Source organism: Homo sapiens, chromosome 16 (genome assembly GCF_000001405.40).
Source record: "Homo sapiens chromosome 16, GRCh38.p14 Primary Assembly".
Classification (NCBI taxonomy): domain Eukaryota; kingdom Metazoa; phylum Chordata; class Mammalia; order Primates; family Hominidae; genus Homo; species Homo sapiens.
This window is the reverse complement of record NC_000016.10, coordinates 9,033,207-9,058,911: the sequence shown is the minus strand read 5'-3', so window position 1 is coordinate 9,058,911 and position 25,705 is coordinate 9,033,207. Positions and strand designations below refer to the sequence as shown.

The 25,705-nt window shown below is 46.5% G+C and overlaps 6 annotated features.

The window, feature by feature from the left end:
* Positions 5,453-5,990: an enhancer, noted in NCBI's record as "H3K27ac hESC enhancer chr16:9146779-9147316 (GRCh37/hg19 assembly coordinates)". NCBI's record gives its function as "activates a minimal SCP1, AML or CMV promoter by ChIP-STARR-seq in primed H9 embryonic stem cells {active_cell/tissue: H9 hESC(primed)}" and the evidence as "EXISTENCE:reporter gene assay evidence [ECO:0000049][PMID:30033119]".
* Positions 7,546-8,336: an enhancer, noted in NCBI's record as "H3K27ac hESC enhancer chr16:9144433-9145223 (GRCh37/hg19 assembly coordinates)". NCBI's record gives its function as "activates a minimal SCP1, AML or CMV promoter by ChIP-STARR-seq in primed H9 embryonic stem cells {active_cell/tissue: H9 hESC(primed)}" and the evidence as "EXISTENCE:reporter gene assay evidence [ECO:0000049][PMID:30033119]".
* Positions 8,337-9,129: an enhancer, noted in NCBI's record as "H3K27ac hESC enhancer chr16:9143640-9144432 (GRCh37/hg19 assembly coordinates)". NCBI's record gives its function as "activates a minimal SCP1, AML or CMV promoter by ChIP-STARR-seq in primed H9 embryonic stem cells {active_cell/tissue: H9 hESC(primed)}" and the evidence as "EXISTENCE:reporter gene assay evidence [ECO:0000049][PMID:30033119]".
* Positions 10,553-11,752: an enhancer, noted in NCBI's record as "P300/CBP strongly-dependent group 1 enhancer chr16:9141017-9142216 (GRCh37/hg19 assembly coordinates)". NCBI's record gives its function as "activates an origin of replication core promoter dependent on BRD2, BRD4, P300/CBP, MED14 and CDK7 cofactors, with strong dependence on P300/CBP, by STARR-seq in HCT116 cells {active_cell/tissue: HCT116}" and the evidence as "EXISTENCE:reporter gene assay evidence [ECO:0000049][PMID:35650434]".
* Positions 10,806-11,100: an enhancer, noted in NCBI's record as "tiled region #8137; HepG2 Activating DNase unmatched - State 1:Tss, and K562 Activating DNase unmatched - State 5:Enh". NCBI's record gives its function as "activates a minimal TATA promoter and a strong SV40 promoter by Sharpr-MPRA in HepG2 and K562 cells {active_cell/tissue: HepG2 | K562}" and the evidence as "EXISTENCE:reporter gene assay evidence [ECO:0000049][PMID:27701403]".
* Positions 11,157-11,256: an enhancer, noted in NCBI's record as "active region_10369". NCBI's record gives its function as "activates an Ori minimal core promoter by ATAC-STARR-seq in GM12878 lymphoblastoid cells {active_cell/tissue: GM12878}" and the evidence as "EXISTENCE:reporter gene assay evidence [ECO:0000049][PMID:35858748]".

The window sequence follows — 25,705 nt, the reverse complement described above, 5'->3', positions numbered from 1 at the left end:
ATCCCTGGAGGAGGAATTTAAAATTCCAATGAGTTGAGGACTGACTGAAACTGGATTGGCCATGAGCTGATGAGCTGGTTGAAGTTGGGTTCTTTATTCTAGTCACTCTACTTTTGTATATCTTTTGAAAATGTCTATAATGAAAAAAAAATTGGTTGTTATTTTTCTTTCTTTGTTTTTTTTGAGACGGAGTCTGGCTCTGTCGCCCAGGCTGGAGTGCAGTGGCACGATCTCGGCTCACTGCAAGCTCCGCCTCTCGGGTTCACGCCATTCTCCTTCCTCAGCCTCCGGAGTAGCTGGGACTACAGGCGCCCGCCACCACACATGGCTAATTTTTATGTATTTTTAGTAGAGACGGGGTTTCACTATGTTAGGCAGGATGGTCTCGATCTCTTGACTTCGTGATCTACCCGCCTTGGCCTCCCAAAGTGCTAGGATTACAAGCGTGAGCCACTGCACCTGGCCGGTTGTTATTTTTCACATAGAAGAGAGAGACCAGTGAGAAGGGTAGCAGCTGCAGGAGCAAGTGAGGTCTGAAGTAGGGTGGCCTTGTGGAGAGGGACAGAAAAGGCCAGAAGAGAAGGATGGCTTCAAATATGCTTGGCTGTATTGTCCTAGATTATTTCAGCATCTCGTTTCAAATCCCCAACCATCTTCTCTCCTCCTTCACTTCAAGTGCTTTCCTTGTACCCTTTGGGCTTTAGTCTAGATGCCATGGGAATTTTTTTTTTTTTTTTTTTTTTGAGACAGAGTCTGACTGTGTCACCCAGGCTGCTGAAGTGTAGTGGCATGATCTCTGCTCACTGCAGCCTCCACTTCCTGGGTTCAAGTGATTCTTCTTCCTCAGCCTTCCAAGTAGCTGGGATTACAGGTATGCGCCACACGATGCCTGGCTAATTTTTCTGTTTTTAGTAGACAGGGTTTCACCATGTTAGCCAGGCTGGTCTCAAACTCCTGACCTCAAGTGATCCAGCCACCTTGGCCTCCCAAAGTGCCAAGATTACAGGCTTGAGCCACCATGCCCAGCCGGCCATGGGAATTTTTGAGAGTTTTCAATAGACAGTGGCCTGATTTTAAAAGTCCCCTCTGGGAGATCAAGATGGGAGGATCCCTTGAGACCAGGAGTTCAAGACCAGCCTGGGCAACATATCAAGACCCTCTCTTAAAATAAAAATAAAAAAAAAATTAGCCAAGTGTGGTGCATGTCTGTAGTCCCAGTTACTTAGGAGGCTGAGGCAGAAGGATTGCTTGAGCCCAGGAGTTTGAGGCTGCAATGAGCTATGATCATGCCACTGCACTCCAGCCTGGGCAACAGATTGAGACCCTCTCTCTAAAGATTAATTAACTAGTTAATTAATTAATTTAAGATAAAAGTCTCCTGTAGCCTAGCTAATGCACAGAGCACAATTTGGAGGGGTCTACCTATAAAAAGACCAGCTAGGAGGCACTGCAGCATTCCAAGTGCTTTATAAGCATTCTTTTTTTTTTTTTTTTTTTTTGAGACAGAGTCTCACTCTGTCACCCCAGGCTGGAGTGCAATGGCATAATCTCTGCTCACTGCAACCTCCACCTCCCAGGTTCAAGAGATTCTCCTGCCTCCCCCTCCCGAGTATAGTTAGGACAACAGGAGTGTGACACCACGCCCAGCTAATTTTTGTATTTTGATAGAGATGGGGTTACACCATGATGCCCAGGCTGGTCTCCAACTTCTGACCTCAAGTGATCCACCCAACTTGGCCTCCCAAATTGTAGGGATTACAGGCGTGAGCCACTGCACCTGGCAGCATTCTTATTTACTTCTCAAAGCAAGTCTGTGAGTGAGGATTGTTCTGTTCATTTTGAATACAAGGAATCTGAGACCAGGGAGTTTGAGAGACCTACCCAAGGCCACACAGCAATTCCCTGCAGGGTTGCCAGATAAAATAAAATAAAATAAAATATGGCATGGAACATACTTATGCTAAAAAAAAAATTGTTGTTGGCCGGGTGCAGTGGCTCACACCTTTAATCCCAGCACTTTGGGAGGCTGAGGCAGGAGGATCACAAGGTCAGGATATCAAGAGCATCCTGGCTAACACGGTGAAACCCCATTTCTATTAAAAATACAAAAATTAGCCGGGCATGGTGGCCGGCACCTGTAGGCCCAGCTGCTGAGGAGGCTGAGGCAGGAGAATGGCGTGAACCCGGGAGGCGGAGCTTGCTTTGAGCCGAGATCGTGCCACTGCACTCCAGCCTGGGCGACAGAGCGAGACTCTGTCTCGAAAAAAAAAAAAAAATTGTTGTTTATCTGAAATTTATATTTAACTGGGTGACCTGTTTTTTTGTGTTTTGTGTTTTTTTTTTTTTTTGAGACTGAGTCTTGCTCTGTCACCCAGGCTGAAGTACAGTGGTGCAATCTCAGCTCACTACAACCTCCGTGTCCCGGGTTCAAGCGGTTCTGCTGTCTCAGCCTCCCCAGTAGCTAGGACTACAGGCACCCACCAACATGCCTGGCTAATTTTTGTATTCTTAGTAGAGACGGGGTTTCGCCGTGTGGGCCAGTCTGGTCTCTAACTCCCGACCTCAGATGATCTGCCCACCTCAGCCTCCCAAAGTGCAGGGATTACCGGTGTGAGCCATCGCGCCCGGCCCTGACCTGTATTTTTGTTACCAAAATCTGCAATCCTAATTGCTGACCAAGCCAGGATTTGGCCCCAGGGTCTCAAACCATCAGCAAATGCTCGTTGCATGAATATATAGGGGCAATGTGCAATATTAGAGAAGTTAAGGTCCTTTTTAGACAATCACAAATTGTAGTATCATGAGTTGAGTAGGATGAAGGTAAGAGCACAGGCTCAGATATCAACTCCCTGGGTTCAGATTCTGCCACCATCATCTAACTACCAGCTGTGTGATTTGGGGGCAGGTTACTTAAACCCTCATGCTATAGTTTTCTCATCTGCAAACTGGGGATAAGAATAATAATACTAATAATAGCACATTCCTCTAGGTCGGCTTTGAAGATTAAAGGAGCAAACTCATACATTGCCAAGCCTTGCCTGGTGTAAGACCACAGGAGATGTTGGCTGAGTGAGGTCATAGCAAACAGTATGCTAAAGGAATAAATAAAGTGTTACAAATCCTCCTCATACTACCAATTACACACGTAGATAAGTTTTTTCTCTTCTCTCTTTTTTTTTTTTTTTTTTTTTTGAGATGGAGTCTTGTTCTGTTGCCCAGGCTGGAGTGCAGTGGCACAATCTCCACTCACTGCAACCTCCACCTCCCGCCTCCAAGGTTCAAGCGATTCTCTTGCCTCAACCTCCCAAGTAGCTTGGACTACAGGCACCCACCACCACGTCTGGCTAATTTTTGTATTTTTAGTGGAGACAAGGTTTCACCATATTTCCCAGGCTGGTCTTAAACTCCTGACCTCAAGTGATCCTCCCACCTTGGCCTCCCAAAGTGCTGGGATTATAGGTGTGAGACACCACGCCCAGCCTAGAGAAGTTTCTCAAGGTGGGAACTGTGTTTTGTTCCTTATAGAACCCTGCCTACACTAAGGGGTGGAATTTTTTTTTTTTTTTAGACAGGAGCTTGCTGTGTTGCGCAGGCTGGAGTGCAGTGGCACAATCATAGCTCAGTGCAGCCTCAAATGCTTGGACTCAAGTGATCCTCTGCCTCAGCCACAGGCACACACCAACATGCCTGGTTAATTTTCTATTTTTTGTAGAGATGGGGTCTTGCTATGTTGTGCATGCTGGTCTCAAACTCCTGGCCTCAAGTGGTCCTCCCACCTGGGCCTCCCAAAGTTTTGGGATTACAGTCATGAACCACCACACCTGGCCCACAATAAATATTGATTCAATAATAAAATGGGCTGGGGGGGAGTTTCTAATGGGACTAGAATTGACCTGTAAAAATAACCAAAAACTAAAACACAAAAGAAGAATCCCACAAAAACAAAAATTATATTAGAGGGAAATAATGTAAGGAATGACTCCAGAATGTGACAGTGAGTCAATCAAAGCATTCATCATTGAAAATACTATATTTTGAGGCAAATATGTTTGATTTCTCAGGAAAAGCAAAAAGGGTTTGTGGCAAGCCACAACGAATACTGTCATTAAAGCAAAATTAGTACAGGTCTTAAATTCCAGAGGTTACAAAACAGCCTGGCTGAGGTCATTCATGCTTAATTATTGTGCCTAATAATTACCTTGACTAATTAGAGCAAAGGTTTCTGAGTATGTTTCTATTCCCAGACACTGAGTCACCAGTGACCCAGAATAAATCATTTCGCTCTATTTGTGTCTTGTATCATCGACATGAAAGCACCCTCAGCCAACTCCTCGGGGAAATTGCAAAGACTTCATTAATTAATATTTGGACAACAAGTATAACTTGTATATGCCAGACCTAAAGATATATGGCATCAGGATGTTTTGTAAGTTGGGTTCATTTATTTAATTATTCAACTACACTCCAGGTGCTCTTAATATTTGTTAAGCTCTACTCTGAGCCAGGCCCTGAGCTGGGAACAGGAGGTGCAACTGTGAACAAGGGAGATCAGCTCCTGCTCTCATGGAGCTTCTAGTCTAGCAAAGGAGACGGATGCTAAATAGGTAAACCAGATATAATCATTACAAATTGTTGAGTGCCACGAGGAAAAAAAATAGAAATCTGTGATAGAGACTAGTGGGAGGGGTTTATTTGTCTTCATTTTTGTTTTTTATTTTTATTTATTTATTTTTTTTGAGACAGAGTCTCACTCTTGTTGCCCAGGCTGGAGTGCAATGGTGCAATATGCACTCACCGCAACCTCTGCCTCCCGGGTTCAAGCCATTCTCCTGCCTCAGTCCCCCCAGTAGCTAGGATTATGGACATGCCCCACCATGTCTGGCTAATTTTGTATTTTTAGTAGAAATGGGGTTTCTCCATGTTGGTCAGGCTGGTCTCGAACTCCTGACCTCAGGTGACCCACCTGCCTCGGCCTCCCAAAGTGCTGGGATTACAGGCATGAGCCACTGCGCCTGGCCTGGTTTTTTTTCTTTTTATTTTTGAGATGGAGTCTCACTCTTTCACCTTGGCTGGAGTGCAGCGGTGTGATCTCCGCTCACCACAACCTCCGCCTCTAGGTCCAAGTGATTCTCCTGTCTCAGCCTCCCAAGTAGCTGGGATTACAGGTGTGTACCACCACGCCAGGCTAATTTTTGTATTTTTAGTAGAGACAGGGTTTCACCATGTCGGCCAGGCTGGTCTGGAACCCCTGACCTCCCAAAGTGCTGGGATTACAGGCATGAGCCAGCGAGCCTGGACTGAAGGGATCTTTTTTTGATGGCACGGTCATAAGAGGCTTCTCAGAAGAGGATCCCCATGCTGAGACCTGAAGGATGGCAAGGAACCAGCCAGGTGGACAGAGGAGGAGGGCATTTTAGGCAGAAGGAATAGCCCGGGCAAAAGCTGAGGTAGGAAAGAGGTTTTCATTTGGGGGAACTATAGGAATCAATGTACCTACAGCGTAGTGAATGAGGAAGGTGGTGTGAGCTCAGACTCAGATCACTCAGGGCCTCCGAGTTGGCCAAAGGCTGTTCCTGGCCACCTCCTTGGCTTGTGGCTGGACTACATTTCCCAGCATCCCTTGCTGTTGAGGGTGGGCACGTGACTGGATTTGGGCCAAAGGAATGCAAGGAGAGGCATTCCCCCAACCCCGTGCTAGTGGCCTTGCTAGTAACCACCTCCTGGGCTGACCTCCGTGCTCCTGCATTTTACTCATCCTGATGGAGAAAGCAGAGCCCCGAGCAAGCAGGAGCGTGGGTCCCTGGATCAGGTAATGGAAGAGAGCCACCTGCCTATCAGGAATACCAGTTTTGGACTTTATATGAGCAAGAAATAAATTCTCCTTGTGTTAGGCCACTGAGATTTGGGGGTTTATTTTCGGGTTTTTTGTTTTTGTTTTTGTTTTTTTTGTCCTTTTGAGGGTTTCTTTGTTACGGTGGCTCGTGTTCTCTTAAGTAATACACAGCCGTTATATCAAATCCACCTTAAAAAGTTGAGCTCAGGGCCGGGCGCGGGAGCACACGCCTCTAATCCCAGCGCTTTGGGAGGCCGAGGCAGGCGGATAACCTGAGGTCAGAAGTTCAAGACCAGCCTGACCAACATGGGGAAACGCCATCCCTACTAAAAATACAGATTAGCCAGGTGTGGTGGTGGACGCCTGTAATCCCAGCTCCTTGGGAGGCTGATGCAGGAGAATGGCTTGAACCTGGGAGGTAGAGGTTGCAATGAGATAGCGCCATTGCACTCCAGCCTGGGCAGAAAAAAAAAAAAAAAAAAAATCAAAAAAATCTGAGCTTCGTTGGGCGTGGTGGCTCACGTCTGTAATCTCAGCACTTTGGGAAGTTGAGGCAGGAGGATTGCTTGAGCCCAGCCTGGGCAACATGGGGAGACCATATCTCTACAAAACAATACAAAAACTAGCCGGGCATGGTGGCATGCGCCTGTGGTCCCAGCTACTCGGGAGGCTGAGGTGGGAGGATCACTTGAGCCCAGGAAGCAGAGGCTACAGTGAGCTGAGATGACTCCACTGCACTCCAGTGTGGGCAACAGAGCAAGACCCTGTCTGAATTAAAAAAAAGAAAAGAAAAAGAAAAAGGGAGGTGGAGCTTTCATAGCATATGGAAAGAGCTGGACATGGTGGCTCATTCCTGTAATCCCAGCACTTTGAGAGGCTGAGGCGGGCAGATCACTAGAGGTCAGGAGTTCGAGATCAGCCCGGCCAACATGGTGAAACCCCGTCTCTACTGAAAATACACAAAATTAGCCGGGCATGATGGCATGTGCCTGTAATCCCAGCTACTTGGGAGGCTGAGTCAGGAGAATCGCTTGAACCTGGGAGGCGGAGGTTGCAGTGAGCCGAAGTTGCACCACTGCACTCCAGCCTGGACAACAGAGTGAGACTCTGTCTCAAAAACAAAAATAAACAAACAAACAAGCAAAAAATGGAAAGAACAATAGGGGGCTTCTTCTAACCCCTCTCACCAGCTTCTAGTTCCACCCCCAGGAGAATAGTGAGGAGAAGGAATGTGGTTTCCAGATAAAATGCAGGACACCCAGTTACATTTGAATTTCAGATAAGCAGCCAATTTTTTTTTAGTGTAAGTATCTCCCACACAATATTTTACCTATTAAAAAAATACTAAAAAAATTGTTCATTGTTTTTCTGAAATTCACATTTCACTGGGCATCCTGTATTTTTATTTGCTAAATTTGGCCACCCTAACTGGGTAGTGGGCATGGTGTCTGCAGATGGAGTTGGTGCCCATGGAAACCATGAAAGGAAGCAAAACTGAGTGGACAAGAGCAGTGCATGGTCATGAGGAGCACAGACTTCCTGGGTTTAAATCCTGCTCTGAAATCGACTTGCTGCGTGATCTTGGATACGTTATTGGCCTCAGTTTCTTCATCTTTATTTTTTTTTAGTTATTTATTTACTTGTTTATTTTTGAGACAGAGTCTTGCTCTGTTGCCCAGGCTGGAGTCCAGTGGTGCGATCTCGGCTCACTGCAATCTCTACCTCCCGAGTTCCAGTGATTCTTCTGCCTCAGTCTCCCGAGTAGTTGAGACTACAGGCACACGTCACCACGCCCGGCTAATTTTTGTATTTTTGATAGAAATGGGGTTTCACCATATTGGCCAGGCTGGTCTTGAACTTCTGACCTCGTGATCCGCCCGCCTCGGCCTCCCAAAGTGCTGGTATTACAGGTGTGAGCCACCGCGCCCGGCATCTTCGTCTTTAAAATGGGGAGAATGACAATACCTGTTTTATAGGGCTGTCACGATAAGTCAGTGAACTGTGCTGGGCACAGTGGCTCACACCTGTAATCCCAGCACTTTGGGAGGCTGAGGCGGGTGGATCACCTGAGGTCATGAGTTCAAGGCCAACCTAGCCAATATGGTGGAATCCCGCCTCTACTAAAAATACAAAAATTAGCCTGGTGTGGTGGTGCACACCTGCAATCGCAATTACTTGCGAGACTGAGCCAGGAAAATCGCTTGAACCCGGGAGGTGGAGGTTGCAGTGAGCTGAGATTGTGCCACTGCACTCCAGCCAACAGAGCAAAACTCAATCTCGAAAAAGAAAAAAAGTCAGTGAACTGATATTTGTAAAGCTCCCAAGCATCGCGTAAGTGCCGGTAGGGGCTGATGATGCTACCTGTATCCCCTCGCTCACCTGAGCTCACCTGCAGCTGCAGAAGAGATGGTTTCCAGTTGACTCAGCACTTCCTATTTCAGGGGCCCGAATTGCTCCGCTTCTCCACCTGGGGGCGCTCTTCAGCTCAACCAAACACAGGCTCACCCTGGAAATGTCGGGGGAGTTCCAGTACGGAGGGCCACCTCAACCAGTCACGTTAGGAGTTGTTTGGATAAAAGCCTCAGGCTCCCCACCCTCCACTGGGGCTTCATGACATATACTCCTCACGGTCTCCCAGAGGAGCCCCATTTGCGCACAATAATCTGCACCTTTTGCTGGTTCTGGCCTTCCTGTACCCTTCGCTCCCTCTCCCTCCCAGTGATTCCTGACATCATCTCCCAGGGCTGGGACTAAGACCAGGCAAGCAAAGCATCACGAGGGTGAAATGAGCTGGGTGCAGTGGCTCAGGCCTGTGATCCCAGCGCTTTAGGAGGCCAAGGTGAGAGGACCACTTGAGGAGTTCGAGACCAGCCTGGGCAACATAGCGCGACCCCATCTCTACAAAAAATTAGAAATTTAGCTGGGCGTGGTGATGCACACCTGTGGTCCCAGGAAGGTGAGGCAGGATTGCTTGAGGTGGGAGGTCAAGGTTGCACTGAGCTATGATTTAGCCACTGCACTACAGCCTGGGCGACAGGGAGTGACACTCTGTCTCAAAACAAAACCAAAAGAAGTTTAAAATTTTAAAAACCACTTCAACTGTTGAATGAATAAACATAGATGGTATACCCACACGATGGATTATTATTCAACTATAAGAAGGAACAAAGCATTGATGCATACTACAACATGAAACAGCCTCAAAAACATTATACTCAGCCAGGCCGGTGGCTCACGCCTATAATCCTAGCACTTTGGGAGGCCAAGGAGGGAGGATCTCTTGAGGTCAAGAGTACAAGACCAGCCTGGCCAACATGGTGAAACCCTGTCTCTACAAAAAATACAAAAAACAAATTTAAAAAATTAGCCCGGTGTGGTGGTGCATGCCTGTAGTCCCAGCTACTCTGGAGGCTGAGGCAGGAGGATCTCTTGAGCCAGGGAGGCAGAGCTTATAGTGAACCAAGAGTGTGCCACCACACTCCAGCCTGGGCAATGGGAGAGAAACCCTGTCTCAAAACACAAAAACGAAAAACTTTATGTTTAGTGAAAGAAGCCAGACACAAAAAGTCACATATTGCATGATCCCATTTCTGTGAATCATCCAGAATAGAATGTAAACGAATATACAGAAAGCAGATTAGTGGTTGTCGGGGGCTAGGGAGCAGGATGAATGAGGAGTGACTGCTTACTCGACACAGGGTTTCCTTTTGGGTGCCGAAAATGTCTTGGAACTAGATAGAGGTGGCGTGGGTGGTTGCACAGCATTGTGAATATACTCAGTGCCATTACATTGTTGACTTTAAAATAGTTAATGGTTAATTTTATGTTGTGCGAGTTTCACCTCAATAAAAACTATTTATTTATTTACTTATTTATTTATTTTTGAAGATGGGGTCTCCCTCTGTTGCCCAGGCTGGAGTGCAGTGGTATCATCATAGCTCACTGCAACCTCAAACTCTTGGGCTTGGGTGATCCTCCTGTCTCAGCCTCCTGAGTAGCTGGGACTACAGGCACATGTCACCATGCCCAGCTAATTTTCTTTAATTTTTATAGAGATGGCTGGGGGCGGGGGGGAGGGTCTCCCTATGTTGCCTAGGCTGGCCTCAAACTTCTGATCTCAAGGGATCCTCCCACTTCAGCCTCCCAAAGGGCTGGGATTGCAGGCATGCATGAGCCACTGCGCCCATTCTATATATATACACACACACACACATATTATACATATGATATATCATATGTATAAGAGATGTATACATATGATATATATTATATATGTGTATTGTATATATAATGCACCCATTCTATATATATATACACACACGCACACATATTTTATATATATATATAATATGTATACATATTATATATATATATATATATACACACACACACATATATAAAAGCTGAGTGTCTTTTTTCTCACTGCCCTGGACCTGGAATCCTTGGCCCAGTGCTGGAACTCATTGTGGGATCATCCACCTTGCATCTCCTCCAGGGAGCGGAGGTCTGTTCAGTCCTAACAGCCATGTGCCCTTTAATTCCTAAACCACAAAGAGGACAATTTGTGCTTATTTATTGAAGCCCTAGCCTGTGTAAGGCCCTGTGCCAGACTCTCTAGAGGGACTTTCTCATTCAATCCTCTTACCTCCTCTTACTTCTACACCTCACCCGTTTAATTTTTCTTCACCATGCTCCCCACCAGCTGGCCTTACGTTGTACATATAGATTTGTTCATTATTGTCTTTCCTCGCCAGAATGTAAGCTTTGTGGGGGCAGGAATTTTGTCTGTGTCATTTACTATCATCTCCCCAGCGCCTGGCACTGATCAGATGAAGGAATCTTGCCAGGTAGGCCTTAGCACCCCCATTTGACAGATGGGGGGATGCAGGCTCAGCGATTTGCCAACATCCTGTGATTAGTAAGTAGCAGAGACTGAATTTAAACTCAGGGGCTCCTGGGGGCACAGCCCACGCTGCAGGGAGCTTTCCCTCATCAGCTTCCTCTACATTGCTGGGATGAGTTTGAAGTCTGAAAATTAAAGGCATAAAGGCGATGACTCATCTCTTAGACAAAGAAGAGGAAAATCAGGGCCCAGAGCTGAGTCATCATTTCCACTTCCCACTATGCTGACTCATTCAGACCTCCGGCTCTTGCTCTCCCAGAGCTTGTTGCTGGGAGAGCGGCCAGGCGCTCAACATAGTCCCTGGCTCCCTTCTTATTTGACCTTCCAGACTGCCCTATTGGCTGGGACAGTCTGACCCAGACACAAGCTTGGATGTGGGTCCAGGCCAGCACTCCCCAGAGAGCCCTGCAGATCTGGAGGCAAGACTCCAAGACTGTTGCAAGATCACAGCACTGGCAGCAGAGAGGCTCCTGCCTTGCAGGGGCTTCCTGCTAGGAGGTTTTCTTGGATGGATGGGCACCTGCAGTAACTGTGTGCACACCTGACTTATTTAAATTTTGAAAGAACTGTGGGCATATATGACTGATTAAATTTTGAAAGAACACAAGCCTTGACATCAGAAAGAAGTGACTTTGAAGCCCAGCTCTGCCCCTTATTAGCTGTGTGACCGTAGGCACACTACTATACAACTCTGTGCCTCAGTGTCCTCATCTGAAAAATGAGGTCATAATATTGTCTACTTGCTAGGGTTGGCAAGAGAAAGGCGTGAGACATTTTGAGTGAGAGCTCTTTGCACAGCCTAAAGAAGGAAGAAACACACTTTAAAGTCATAAAGGCAACTGAGGACTGAACCCCATGGTAGAGATGGGATGGAGTGGAGTTGGGGGAAAACAAGGTTCTGTGTGCCAGGCCAGGCTGACCAGGGGGTCTAAGGCTGAAGGTGGACAAATGGCTTAACCTCCAGCAGCTTACCTTTCTCCAGCTGCACAATGATCATGCTAGACTCTGCCCTGTCTCACACAGAATGAGAATATTCCACAGAAGGAAAAATGTTAACTGACATCATGGTTGGGGATTTGGAAGTGGAGAGTATTAAAAATATCACCCAAGTAATACATGAATCTATGTTTATTGTGAAAGATTTTAGCAATCTGGATTTTAGCAAAATGTGGAGTCCCTTTTCACGAGCTTCCACTATCTACAGTTTGGAGCACATCCTTACAATCTCTCTCTCTCTCTTTCTGTCTCTCCATTTATGTATATATGTGCACAGGGCTAATAGCTAACACTAGTTGGGCATTTTGATACATATCAGGCCCTGCTCTAAACACTTTACATGGATTCATTTATTTAGTCTTCACAAAACCCCATGAGGCAAACTCTATTATTAGCTCTACTTTACAGAGGAGAAAACTCAGGCCCAGAGAGGTAAAGTAACTTCCCCAAAGTCACACAGCTTCAGAGAAAAAGAGCTGGGATTGAAACCCAGGCAGCCTGGTTCCAGAGTCTGTTCACAACCATTGCATTCTATTGTCTCTCGAATATTCTCTTTTTTCCAAAAATGGGGTCATACCTTGTGCATATTTTGCATTTTGCTTTTTGTATTTAATAAATCTTGGAGAGCACCTTATGTCTCTCCATGTTTCTCTGCATTTAATGGTGGTGCAGTCCTATGTGGCATTCTATAGTGCAAAGATGAACTGTTAGGGGGTTTCCACTGTTTCATTTTCACAAATAATCCTTTGTCAATTGTCACTTGCACATACATCCTTGGGCACCCGTGCATTGATTTCTAGGGATTTCTAGAAGTAAGGAGTTAAATCTTCGAGAAATATTGTCAGATTGACTTTCCAAAAGGATGCTTCCATTTACACTTGATCTTCTGTGTGTGGCCAATCCCCATGCTCTAGCCAACACTGGATAGCGCTGTCACTTACAGCTCCTCTGATGGGGGAGGTGGGAAAGAGATGTGTCATTTGACATTTCACTTGGCACTTAGCATTTTCTCGAGCATCTTTTTTTTTTTTTTTTTTGAGACAGGGTCAGGCTGGGCATGGTGGCTCATGCCTGTAATCCCAGCACTTTGGGAGGCCGAGGCGGGCAGGTCACCTGAGGTCAGGAGTTTGATACCGGCCTGGCCAACATGGAGAAATTCCATCTCTACTAAAAATACAAAGGTAGCCGGGTATGATGGTGCATGCCTGTAATCCCAGCTACTTGGGAGGCTGAGGCAGGAGAATCGCTTGAAGCTGGTAGGTGGAGGTTGCAGTGAGCCAAGATCACACCATTGCACTCTAGCCTGGGCAACACGAGTGAAACTCCATCTCAAAAAAAAAAAAAAAAAAAAAAAGAGAGAGACAGGGTCTCACTGTGTTGCCCAGGCTGGAGTGCAGTGACACAATCACAGCTTACTGCAGCCTCCACTTACTAGGCTCCAGGGATCCTCCTGCCTCAGCCTCCGGAGTAGTTGGGACCACAGATGCAAGCCACTATGCTCAGCTAATTTAAAATTTTTTAATTTTTGTGTAGAGATGGTGTCTTGCTATGTTGCCCAGATTGGTCTCAAACTCCTGACCTCAAGTGATCCTCCTGCACTGGACTCCCAAAGTGCTGGGATTATAGGCATCAGCTACTGCTCCTGACCTCCTCTAATGTTTTTCGTTTTTTTGAGATAGAGTTTTGTTCTTGTTGCCCAGGCTGGGGTGCAGTGGCACGGTCTTTGCTCACTGCAACCTCTACCTCCCGGTTTCCAATGATTCCTCTGCCTCAGCCTCCCAAGTAGCTGGGATTACAGTTGCCTGCCGCCACGTCCGGCTAAGTTTTGTATTTTTAGTAGAGACGGGGTTTCACCTGTTGGCCAGGCTGGTCTCAAACTTCTGACCTCAGGTGATCCACCTGCCTCAGCCTCCCAAAGTGCTGGGATTACAGGCATTAGTCACTGCACCCGGCCCTGTAATGTTTATAATGACTATTTCCATGTTGTCCTCTGGGAATGGCCTGTCAGAGCCTGTTAGGATCATGGACAGTTAATGTTTTTCTCAGTGCACCCCAATTTCCTTTTATTTATTTATTTATTTATTTTTTTGAGATGGAGTCTCACTCTTGTTGCCCAGGCTGGAATGTAATGGCACGATCTCAGCTCACTGCAACCTCCACCTCCCAGGTTCAAGCGATTCTCCTGCCTCAGCCTCCTGAGTAGCTGGGATTACAGGCATGTGCCACTACACCCAGCTAATTTTTTGTATTTTTAATAGAGACGGGGTTTCGCCATGTTGGCCAGGCTGGTCTCGAACTCCTGACCTCAAGTGATACACCTGCCTCGGCCTCCCAAACTGCTAGCATTATGGACGTGAGCCACTGTGGCTGGCCGAAATGCAGGGATTCTGAGTCTTGCTGGTATCATTATCTGAGACCCTGGATCCAGCCATGTCCACAGTCTAACAACATCTGAACTTCCCCATTGTGTACGTAACGACTTTTTTTGTTGTTGTTTTAAATGTTTTTTAAACTTTATTTTATTTTTTTGAGACAGAGTCTCACCGTCACCCAGGATGGAGTGCAGTGGTGCCATCTCGGCTCACTGCAACCTCTGCCTCCTGGGCTCAAGCGATCCTCCCCCCTCGGCTTCCCAAAGTGCTGGGATTAGAGGTGTGAGCTCCTGTGCGTGGCCGAATGTGTTTTAAACAGCTTAGTTTGGGGTTGTTGATTTGTTTTTGTTATTTTTTCCATCGTGCAATGAGTCCTATTTGATCCACAGGCCCAGAGGAAAGAAAACAGATTCACATTCAGCTAAACTTTGCTCTCAAGTCTGAAGACGTGGGTTTATATCTATGCCTGCTGGAAAGTTATTTGGAGGGAGGCAAGGTAGGTATAGAAAAGATAGTGCTTGGGTATGGCGGCTGTGCCGATAGTCCCAGCTACTTAGGAGGCTGAGGGCAGAGGCTCCCATGAGCCCAGGAGTTCAAGACCAGCCTGGACAACATACTGAGACCCCCGTCTCTACAAAAAAAATTTTTTTTATATTAGCAAAGTGCCGGGTGCAGTGGCTCACGCCTGTAATCCCAGCACTTTGGGAGGCTGAAGCGGGCAGATCACGAGGTCAGGAGATCGAGACCATCCTGGCTAACACAGTGAAACCCAGTCTCCACTGAAAATATAAAAAATAAGCCAGGCATGGTGGTGGCTGCCTGTAGTCCCAGCTACTCGGGAGGCTGAGGCAGGAGAATGGCGTGAACCCAGGAGGCGGAGCTTGCAGTGAGCCGAGATCGCACCACTGCACTCCAGCCTGGGTGACAGAGCAAGACTCCATTTCAAAAAAAAAAAAAATTAGCAAAGCATGGCCAGGCGTGGCAGCTCATGCCTGTAATCCCAGCGCTTTGGGAGGCCGAGGTGGGTGGCTCATTTGAGGTCAGGAGTTCCAGACCAGCCTGGCCAACATGGTGAAACCCCATCTCTATTAAAAATACAAACATTAGCCAGGCATGATGGCAGGTGCCTGTAATCCCAGCTATTCAGGAGGCTGAGGCAGGAGAATTGATCAAACCTGGGAGGTGGAGATTGCAGTGAGCTGAGATTGCACCACTGCACTTTAGCCTGGGCGACAGAACGAGACTCTGTCTCAAAAAATAAAAAATTAGCCACGTGTGGTGGTGCCTGCCTGTAGTCCTAGTTACTCGAGAGGCTGAGGCAGGAGGATTGCTTGACTCCAGGAGTTCGAGGCTGCAGTGAGCTCTGACGGCGCTACTACACTCCAATCTGGGTGACACGGTGAGTCTCTGTCTCAAAAGACAAAAAAAAAACAAGGCCTGGCTTAGCAGATCCTTGGAGACTTTGTTATATAAGCAAACAGCATGGGCGGTAGAAATGAACAGACGTTCTCATTACTTTTGTTTGACTCAGGTTTTCTCACTTGTTGGGGGTGGGGAGGGGGGCTGCTATAAGTGGGCTGGTGGCTCTTTTTTGTGAAATGAACTGCAGCTGTCACTGGGAAAGGCTTTTACACGCTCTGTGAACAATTTCCTTTGAATTCTGATTTTTTTTTCCAAATAAAAATGAGTGCTCTTGAGATTAGTCAGAGGTCCCAGGCAGGGGGAGAGGAGGCGGATAAATGTGATGATGCTGGTGTTTCGCCACACAGCAAGAGTGGGGTAGCGGGGAAATGTAGTGGAAAGAGTCTTGGATGCCTATGTTCAAACCCTGACTTCCGTGCTCATTAGCTGCACCCGTTTTTATGACTTCGGACTTATAAGCTGCTCCAGTTTTTATGCCTACCCCAAAATTCAGTGACATAGAGCAACCATTTATTATGGATACGGTTGAATGGGTCAGGAATTCAGACACAGAGCATCCATGATGACAGCTTGTCTCTGCTCCTTTTTGTCTGGAACCTCAGCTGGAAAGCCAGGGTCTGGATCATTCAAGGCTCCCTCCATCCCTCCCTCCCATGTGAGTAAGAGGATGCTCCTTGTAGGCGGGGCCTCAGTGCCTCTCCACGTGGATCTCTTTGTGTGGCTGGCTTGGGCTTCCTCACAGCATGGCGGCTGGGTTTCAAGGCCAAGCATCTGGAAAGAAAGGGAGACAGGTGGAAATCAGATCACCTTTCACGGCTTAGTTTTGGAAGTAATTTCTCCCATATTCTGTTCACTGTGGCAGTCACAACGTCCTGACCAAGTTCAGATGCAGAAGAAATAGATTCTGCTTCTTGATAATGAGGAATAAGGCTTTGGAAAGGCATATGGGACCATATATATATATTTGAGAGAAGGTCTGGCTCTGTCGCCCAGGCTGGAGTGCAGTGGCATGATCTCAGCTCACTGCAACCTCTGCCTCCTGGGCTCAAGTTATCCTGCCACCTCACCCTCCCAAGTAGCTGGGACTACAGGCAAGTGCCACCACACCCGGCTAATTTTTTTTTGTTGTTGTTGTAGAGACCAGGTTTTACCATGTTGCCCAAGCTGGGCTTGAACTCCTGAGCTGAAGTGATCCTCCCACCTCGGCCTCCCAAAGTGATGGAATTACAGGTGTGAGCCACCATGCCCAGTCTTTTCTTTCCTTATATCTTTATTCTATAGGCTTTTTTTCTATTTTTATTTATTTTTTATAGAAATGGGGTCTTGCTATGTTGCCCAGGCAGGTCTCAAACTCCTGGGCTCAAGTGAGCCTCCTGCCTCAGCCTCCCAAAGTGCTGGGATTACAGGCATAAGCCAGCATGCCTAGCCTTTAAGCTTTTTAATATTTTAAATAATTTGTTAATTTGTTAAAAACAAAAACACAGGCCAGGCGTGGTGGCTCACACCTGTAATCCCAGCACTTTGGGAGGCCGAGACAGGTGGATCACCTTAGGTCAGGAGTTCGAGACCAGCATGGCCAATGTGGTGCAACCCCATCTCTACTAAAAACTACAAAAATTAGCCAGGCATGGTGACAGGCACCTGTAATCCCAGCTACTCAGAAGGATGAAGCAGGAGAATTGCTTGAACCTGAGAGGCAGAGGTTGCAGTGAGCTGAGATGGCACCACTGCACTCCAGCCTGGGCGACAGAAGGAGTCTCCATCTCAAAAAAAAAAAGAAGAAGAAGAAGAAGAAACATATTAAATTGTGTTTACTCTTTGAACCAACAATTTTGCATCCAGGAATTTAGTGAAGGGTGTACCCAAAGATTGGGCCACAAAGGTTTCTTCTGTCTTTCCTTCCTTCCTCCCTCCCTTCCTTCCCTCTTTCCGTTCTTTTTTGTAGAGATGGGAGTTTCCCTATGTTGCCCAGGCTGGTCTCGAACTCCTGGGCTTAGGCCATCCTCCCACCTCAGCCTCCTAAAGTGTTGGGATTACAGCCGTGAACCACCGTGCCCGGACTTCAAAGGTGCTTTCTGTCCCAGCTTTCCAGAAATGCAAAATATTGAAGCCATTCAAATATTAGCAAAAAGGGATGATTTAAGTAAACAATGGTGCATTTATGAAATGCAATGCGATGCGGCCAGAAAAAAAATGTAGCAGCGCAGTTGGTTAACAACCGCCTGCAGGCTGAATGTAGCCCCCACCCCCACCTGTTTTTATTCAGTCTGTGAGCTAAGAATAGTCTCTACTTTTTAAAAAATGGTTAAAAAATCAAAAGACATGAAAACTATATGAAATTCCAATTTCAGGGACTGTAAATAAACTTTTATTGGAATGCAGCCACACTTACTCATTTACGTATCGCCTGTGGCTGTTTTCACACTGCAAGAGCAGGGTTGAGTAGCTGCTACAAGGAACATGTGACCTGCAAAGCCAAATGTATTTACTTTCTGGACCTTTACTGAAAAAGTTTGCCGACCCCTGCCATAGAATATCTGATGGCGTGCAAATAAAACAATATCTTATGTACAATATACTATTGCTTTGGTAATAGGAAAAGCATATATCCAATGCCATATTGTACAGAAAAAATGCTGGAATGAATACATGCTAACATGAACACTTATCTCTGTGAGTGGAATCACAGATTTTTTTCTTTTTTTTTGAGACAGAGTCTCACTCTGTTGCCCAGGCTGGAGTGCAATGGTGCGATCTCGGCTCACTGCAACCTCCGTCTCCTGGGTTCTTCCACCTCAGCCTCCCGAGTAGCTGGGATTACAGGTGCCCGCCACCATGTCCATCTAATTTTTGCATTTTTACTAGAGACGGGGTTTCACCAAGTTGGCCAGACTGGTCTCAAACTCCGACCTCAGGTGATCCGCCCGCCTCAGATGATTTTTATCTCCTAATTTTTGCATGGTTGAATTTTTGTTCAATTTATGTACTGCACAAGTACAGGTTTTTAATAAGGAAAAAAAAAAAGAGTGCTGCCCCTCTCCTCTGAACTCTGCAGTTCCTTGGCTGAACTGTGTTCACTTTGTCCTTCTTTGCCTCAGCAATCTCTTCCTTCCAGCTTCATCTTGCTCTCCACCCTTTTCTACTTTTCACTCATTATCTTACTTCTTCCTTCAAAATTCAGCCCAGACCTCTTCACCTGCTCCAAGAAGCCCTTCCTTGATTTCCCCAGGCCAGCTTAGGGGATCTGCTCCCCACTCTTAATAGTGCCCTGGGTTATCTTGCTTGTTGCTCTCATTACACTACATTGTAATGACTTATTTAAGCGTCTGTCTCCCTAACAAGGCTGCAAGTTTTTGAGGGACAAGTTCTTATTTATATTTATTTATACTCAAGAAAGGCCTAGAACATAAATATATTTATTTGTATTTATTTATACTCAACAAAGGCCTAGAACATGATAGGTTCTCAAATAAATAATGGATGAATGAAATACGATTTGAATGAATGAATAAATGAATGAATTGGACTGATGCTGGAGATACAAGCAGATAGACTGGGAGAAGCTTTCTAGAAATGAGGCACTTAAGCAAAGCCTCAGTGGATGACCAAGAAGGCAGCATGCAGATATACAAAGGAAGAAAGAACATTCTTGACAGAGCTACATTTTTATTTTTAAAATTTTTATTTTTTATTTTATTTTATTTATTTGTTTATTTTGAGACAGGGTCTCGCTATGCCACCCAGGCTGAGTGCTGTAGCACAATCTCAGCTTATTGGAAGCCTCTGCCTCCTGGGCTCAAGGGATCTTCCCACCTCAGCCTCCTGAGTAGCTGGGACTAGAGGCCAGCATTTTTTATGCTTGCATAAATGTCTTTGTAAATGCGTAGTAAAAAAGTCTGGTGAGATACAGGTTGGAGAGGAAGCAGCACAGGAAACACCCAAGCACTAGCAGGCCATGAAGATTCAGCACTGTGGACAGGGACGTGTCTCTCTCTCTCTCTCTCTCTCTCTCTCTGACCCCCACTCCTGATCGTAAGTTGGTTCGGTTTATGGTAGAGACAAAGAGGGCTAAGATAGACATTACCTTCAAGGAGCCCACAGTCTTATGGGAGACATCACTATGCAGTTGCATAACTTAATAATGACATATGTGAATTACATTATTAGTAAAGAAAAAAAGAATAGCAATAGGCCAGGCCTGGTAGTTTACACCTATAATCTCAGCACTTTGGGAGGCCAAGGAGGGTGAATCACTTGAGGTCAGGGGTTCGAGACCAGCCTGGCCAACATGGCAAAACCCCATCTCTACGAAAAATGCCAAAAACTAGCCGGGAGTGGTGGCGGGTGCCTGTTATCTCAGCTACTCAGGATGCTGAGGCAGGAGAATCACTTGAACCCAGGAGGCAGAGGTTGCAGTGAGTGAAGATTGCGCCCCTGCATTCCAGCTTGGGTGACAGAGCAAGACCCTGTCTAAAAAAAGAAAGAAAGAGGAAGGAAGGAAGGAAGGAAAACAGAAAGAAAGAAGAAAAGAAAGAAAAATAATAGCAATAATGGTCATCATTATCATTTGTTTATTTTGAGAAGCAAGGTCTCATTCTGTCACTCAGGCTGGAGTACAATGGCACAGTGATAACTCACTGCAGCCTCCAGCTACTGAGTTCAAGTGATGCTTCCACTTCAGCCTCCTGAGTAGCTAGGACTATGGGTGCGCACCACCATGACTGGCTAATTATCCTTTATTTCCTTTTTTTTATTTTTTTTTGGAAAATGGGGGTCTTGCTATGTTGCTCCGGCTGGTCTTGAACTCCAGGCCTCAAGTGATTCTCCCACCAGAGCCTCTCAGAGTGCTGAGATTACAGGTGTGAGGCACCATGCCTAGCACATTAACATTTGTTTTTACTGCTTTTTGGGTTTTCTTTTTTTTCTTTTCTTCTCTTTTTTTTTTTTTTTTTTTTCCGACAGAGTCTCGCTCTTTCTCCAGGCTGGAGTGCAGTGGTGTGATCTTGGCTTACTGCAACCTCCACTTCCTAGGTTCAAGTGATTCTCCTGCCTCAGCCTCCCAAGTAGCTGGGACTACAGGTGCCCGCCACCACACCTGGCTAATTTTTGTATTTTTAGTAGAGACGGGGTTTCACCATGTTAGCCAGGATGGTCTTGGTCTCTTGACCTTGTGATCCGCCTGCCTCGGCCTCCCAAAGTACTGAGATTACAGGTGTGAGCCACTGCACCCAGCCATTTTTATTATTATTTTTTGAGATGGAACCTCACTCTGTCATCCAGGCTGGAGTGCAGTGGCACGATCTCAGCTCACTGCAACCTCTGCCTCCCAGGTTCAAGTGATTCTTCTGCCTCAGCCTCCTAAGTAGCTGGGGTTAGAGGTGCCAGCCACTTGCCCGGCTAATTTTATGTTTTTAGTAGACACAGGGTTTCCCCATGTTGGCCAGGCTGGTCTTGAACTCCTGACCTCAGGTGATCCACCCGCCTCAGTTTCCCAAAGTGCTGGGATTATAGGTGTGAGCTACCGCGCCAGGCCCATTAACATTTATTGAGTGCACTATGCTAAGCACTTTGTATGCTTTGTCTCAGTTAATCTTCATAATCATATATATATATATTTTTTAGATGGAGTTTGACTCTTGTTGCCCAAGCTGGAGCGCAATAGCATGATCTTGGCTCACTGCAACCTCCACCTCCCAGGGTTCAAGCGATTCTCCTGCCTCAGCCTCCCAAGTAGCTGGAATTATAGGCACGTACTACCATGCCTGGATGATTTTTTGTATTTTTAATAGAAACAGGGTTTCACCATGTTGGCCAGGCTGGTCTCAAACTCCTGACCTCAGGTGATCTGCCTGCCTCAGCCTCCCAAAATCACATTTTCATTGAGATACTCTTGTTATTCTGTTTTATAGATAGAGAAACTGAGGCTCAGAAAAGTGAATTAGCAGGAGTCAAAATTTCATGACCTTACAAGTACACATCTTGAAAACTAAGAAAAGCTCTAGATGTGGTATTTGGGTAGCAAATTTCCTGGGGCCAGATAGCACATTCCGCCCACTGACCTTGCTCACACTGAATTTGCTTGTTGTTGGCTGTTCATTTATTCATGCCTCAACAAGGAATTGCTACTGAAACTTACTTATCTTCTACTCATTACAGGACAGGAAAAATAAGCAGGTGCCTCCTGGCCCAAGGTGGCTGTGACTTCTTAGAGGACCATGGCCACATCATTTTTTTTTTTTTTTTGAGACAGTCTCACTCCATTGCCCAGTTCTAGAGTACAGTGGTGCTATCTCGGCTCAATGCAACCTCAGCCTCCTGAGTTCAAGCGATTCTCCTGCCTCAGCCTCCTGAGCACCTGGGATTACAAGGGCCCGCCACCATGCCCAGCTAATTTTTGTATTTTTTTACTAGAGACAGAGTTTCATCATGTTGGCCAGGCTGGTCTCGAACTCCTGACCTCAAGTGATCTACCCGTCTCGGCCTCCCAAAGTGCTGAGATTAGAGGTGTGAGCCACCGCACCTGGCCTAATTTTATTTTTTTGAGACAAGATGTTGCGCAGGCTGGTCTTGAACTCTTGGCCTCAAGCCGTCCTCCTCCCTTGGCCTCCCAAAGTGCTGGGATTACAGGCATGAGCCACCTTGAATGACCTGTACTTGGTAGGTTGTTTGTTTGAGACGGAGTCTCTCTCTGTTGCCCAGGCTGGAGTGCAGTGGCACGATCTCGGCTCACTGCAACCTCCGCCTTCCAGGTTCAAGCAATTCTTGGGCCTGAGCCTCCCAAGTAGCTGGGATTACAGGTATGTGCCACCACATCCAGCTAATTTTTGTATTTTTAGTAGAAACAGGGTTTCACCATGTTAGCCAGGTTGGTGTTGAACTGACCTCAAGTAATCCACCCACCTTGGCCTCCCAAAGTGCTGGGATTACAGGCATGAGCCACCACACCCAGCTGACCCTTCTCTTAAACCTATACATACAATATGTGTGTGTGTGTGTGTGTGTGTGTATATATGTATATATGTGTGTGTGTGTGTATATATATATATACACACATATACATATACTTCTATGACATATGTATATAGCATAGAAGTTAGATCATTCTAGGCATGTGGTTCTGCAGCTTGCTATTCCAACCGGATGTATCTGGCAGACAGTTCTATTTAAGGGTGTTCTCTGCCTCATTCTTTATGAAGGCAGCATGACAATCCAGCCATAGTGCAGGAGTCTCATGATTTATTTGTCAAGTGTTCAACGGATGTATTTGAACATTCTTTTCAGTTTTTTGAAATGACACCACTTTGGGCACACTCAAGCAATCGTTGGACGAGGATTGCTTGTGAGAAATGAACTGAATCGCAAGAGAGCCCAGGTTTGGATTTGGACAGGTATTGCCCTGCAAAAAGAGGGTACCAAGTGACAGTGCCTTTTTCCAACACAAAATGAGGATGGCCCTTTCCCTATAGCCCTCCTCCTGCCCCTACACTTTGCATTATCAAAACTTTTCATCTTTATCCGTTGATATGGTTTAGATTTGTGTCCCTGCCCAAATCTCAATTTTTTTTTTTTTTTGAGATAGGGTCTCACTCTGTTGCCCAGGCTAGAGTGCAGTGGCGCCATCTCTGCTCACTGCAAGCTCCGCCTCCTGGGTTCATGCCATTCTCCTGCCTCAGCCTCCCGAGTAGCTGGGACTACAGGCGCCCACCACCACACCCAGCTAATTTTTTCTATTTTTAGTAGAGACAGGGTTTCACCCGGTTAGCCAGGATGGTCTCTATCTCCTGACCTCGTGATCCGCCCGCCTCAGCCTCCCAAAGTGCTGGGATTACAGGCATGAGCCCTTGAGCCCGGCTGTCCCTGCCCAAATCTCATGTCAAATTGTAATCCCCAGTGTTGGAGAAGGGACCTGGTGGGAGGTGATTGGATTATGGGGGTGAATTTCCCCCTTGCTGTTCTCATGACGTGAATGAGTTCTCACAAGATATGGGTGTTTAAAAGTGTGTGGCACCTCAGCCAGGTGCAGTGGCTCACACCTGTAATCCCAGCACTTTGGGAGGCAAAGGTGGGCAGATCACCTAAGGTCGGGAGTTCAAGACCAGCCTGGCCAACATGGTGAAATCCTGTCTCTACCAAAAATACAAAAATTAGTCGGGTATGATGGTTGGTGCCTGTAATCCCAGCTACTTCGGAGGCTGAGGCAGGAGAATCATTTTAACCCAAGAGGCAGAGGCTGCAGTGAGCTGAGATTGGGCTACTGCACTAAAAAAAAAAAAAAAAAAAAAAAAAGGATATGGCACCTCCCCCTTCTCTCTTCCTCCTGCCCTGGCCATGTAAGCCATGCCTCCTTCCCCTTCACCTTCTGCCATGATTGTAAGTTTCCTGAGGCCTCCCCAGCCATACTTTCTGTACAGCCTGAAGAACTGTGAGCCAATTAAACCTCTTTTCTTATAAATGACCCAGTTTCAGGTATTCCTTTATAGTCTGTGTGACAACAGACTAATACACCAATCACATAATAGGAATATGATCTCCTGTTATAATCTATATATTTCCTTCCTTCCTTCTTTTATTTCTTTTTTTTTTTTTTTTTGGTTTGTTTGTTTGTTTGATACAGTGGCTCACTCTGTCACCTAGGCTGGAGTGCAGTGGTGCGACCTTGGCTCACTGCAACCTCCGCCTCCCAGATTCAAGCGATCCTCCTGCCTCAGCCTCCTGAGTAGCTGCGACTACAGGCATGCACCACCATGCCCGGCTAACTTTTGTATGTTTTGTAGAGATGGGGTTTCACCATGTTGGCCAGGCTGGTCTTGAACTCCTGGGCTCAAACGATCCTCCCACTTCAGCCTCCCAAAGTGCTGAGATTACATGAGCACCACGTAATCTCAGCTGAGCTGAGATTATTTGAGCCACCAATCTACATGAGCTGAGATTATTTGAGCCACCATGCCTGGCCTACAATCTGTATTTTTAAAATGATGTTTGATCTTTTTTTATAATTAAACAAATCTATACACTTATAAATAGACATTTAAATAAATTACATTGAGAAGAGGAAGACTGCAATGAGATGTTTCCTGTAGACCTACAATGGGACAGACTCGCCCAGGAGCAGAGCTTCCGGTGGAAATGCAATACATTCCACGAGCGGAGGTTCTCAACCCTGGCAGCACATTCCATTTACTTGGGTTTCAGAAAACCAATGTCCAGGCTGGGCGCGGTGGCTCACGCCTGTAATCCTAGCACTTTAGGAGGCCAAGGCAGGTGGATTGCCTGAGCTCAGGAGTTCAAGAACAGCCTGGGCAACACGGTGAAACCCCATCTCTACTAAAATACAAAAAAATAGCTGGGCATGGTGGCAGGCACCTGTAGTCTCAGCAACTTGGGAGGCTGAGGAAGGAGAATTGCTTGAACCCGGGAGGCGGAAGTTGCAGTGAGCTGAGATCACGCCACTGCACTCCAGCCTGGGTGACAGAGCGAGACTCCGTCAAAAAAAAAGGAAGAAAGGGAAGGAAGGAAGGAAGGAAGGAAGGAGGGAGGGAGGGACCGAAGGAAGGAAGGAAGGAAGGAAGGAAGGAAGGAAGGAAGGAGGGAGGGAGGGACCGAAGGAAGGAAGGAAGGAAGGAAGGAAGGAAGGAAGGAAAGGAGGGAGGGAGGGAGGGAAGGTCCCTCCTCCACCCACATTTGGGAAGAGAAGATCCCAGAGGATTTTGAGATCCCACTTGAGAGATCCCAGAGGCTCCCTTTCGCCACCAGAGGGCACTTGTCTAGTCTCTTAAGCCCAAGATTAGCTTGGGAGACCAAAGACAAGGCTTCTGCAAGAAGGGAAACCAAAGGAATTTCAGGTCCTAGGGCCCAAGAGTCCATAAAATCAAAAGCAAGTTAGTTACCTCATAGATACAATGGGGGTACAGACAATGGATAAATACATCATTCCAAATGGGAGAGAGTGGCTGAAATAAGGGGGCTACAGGCCCCACGCAAGTCTGAAATCCAACAGGGCCGTCAAATCTTAAAGCTCCAAAATAATCTCCTTTGATTCCATGACTCACATCCAGGTCACGCTGATGCAAGAAGTGGGTTCCCATGGTCTTGGGCAGCTCCGCCCCTGTGGCTTTGCGGGTACAGCCTCCCTCCCAGCTGCTTTCACGGGCTGGCGTTGAGAGCCTGCAGCTTTTCCAG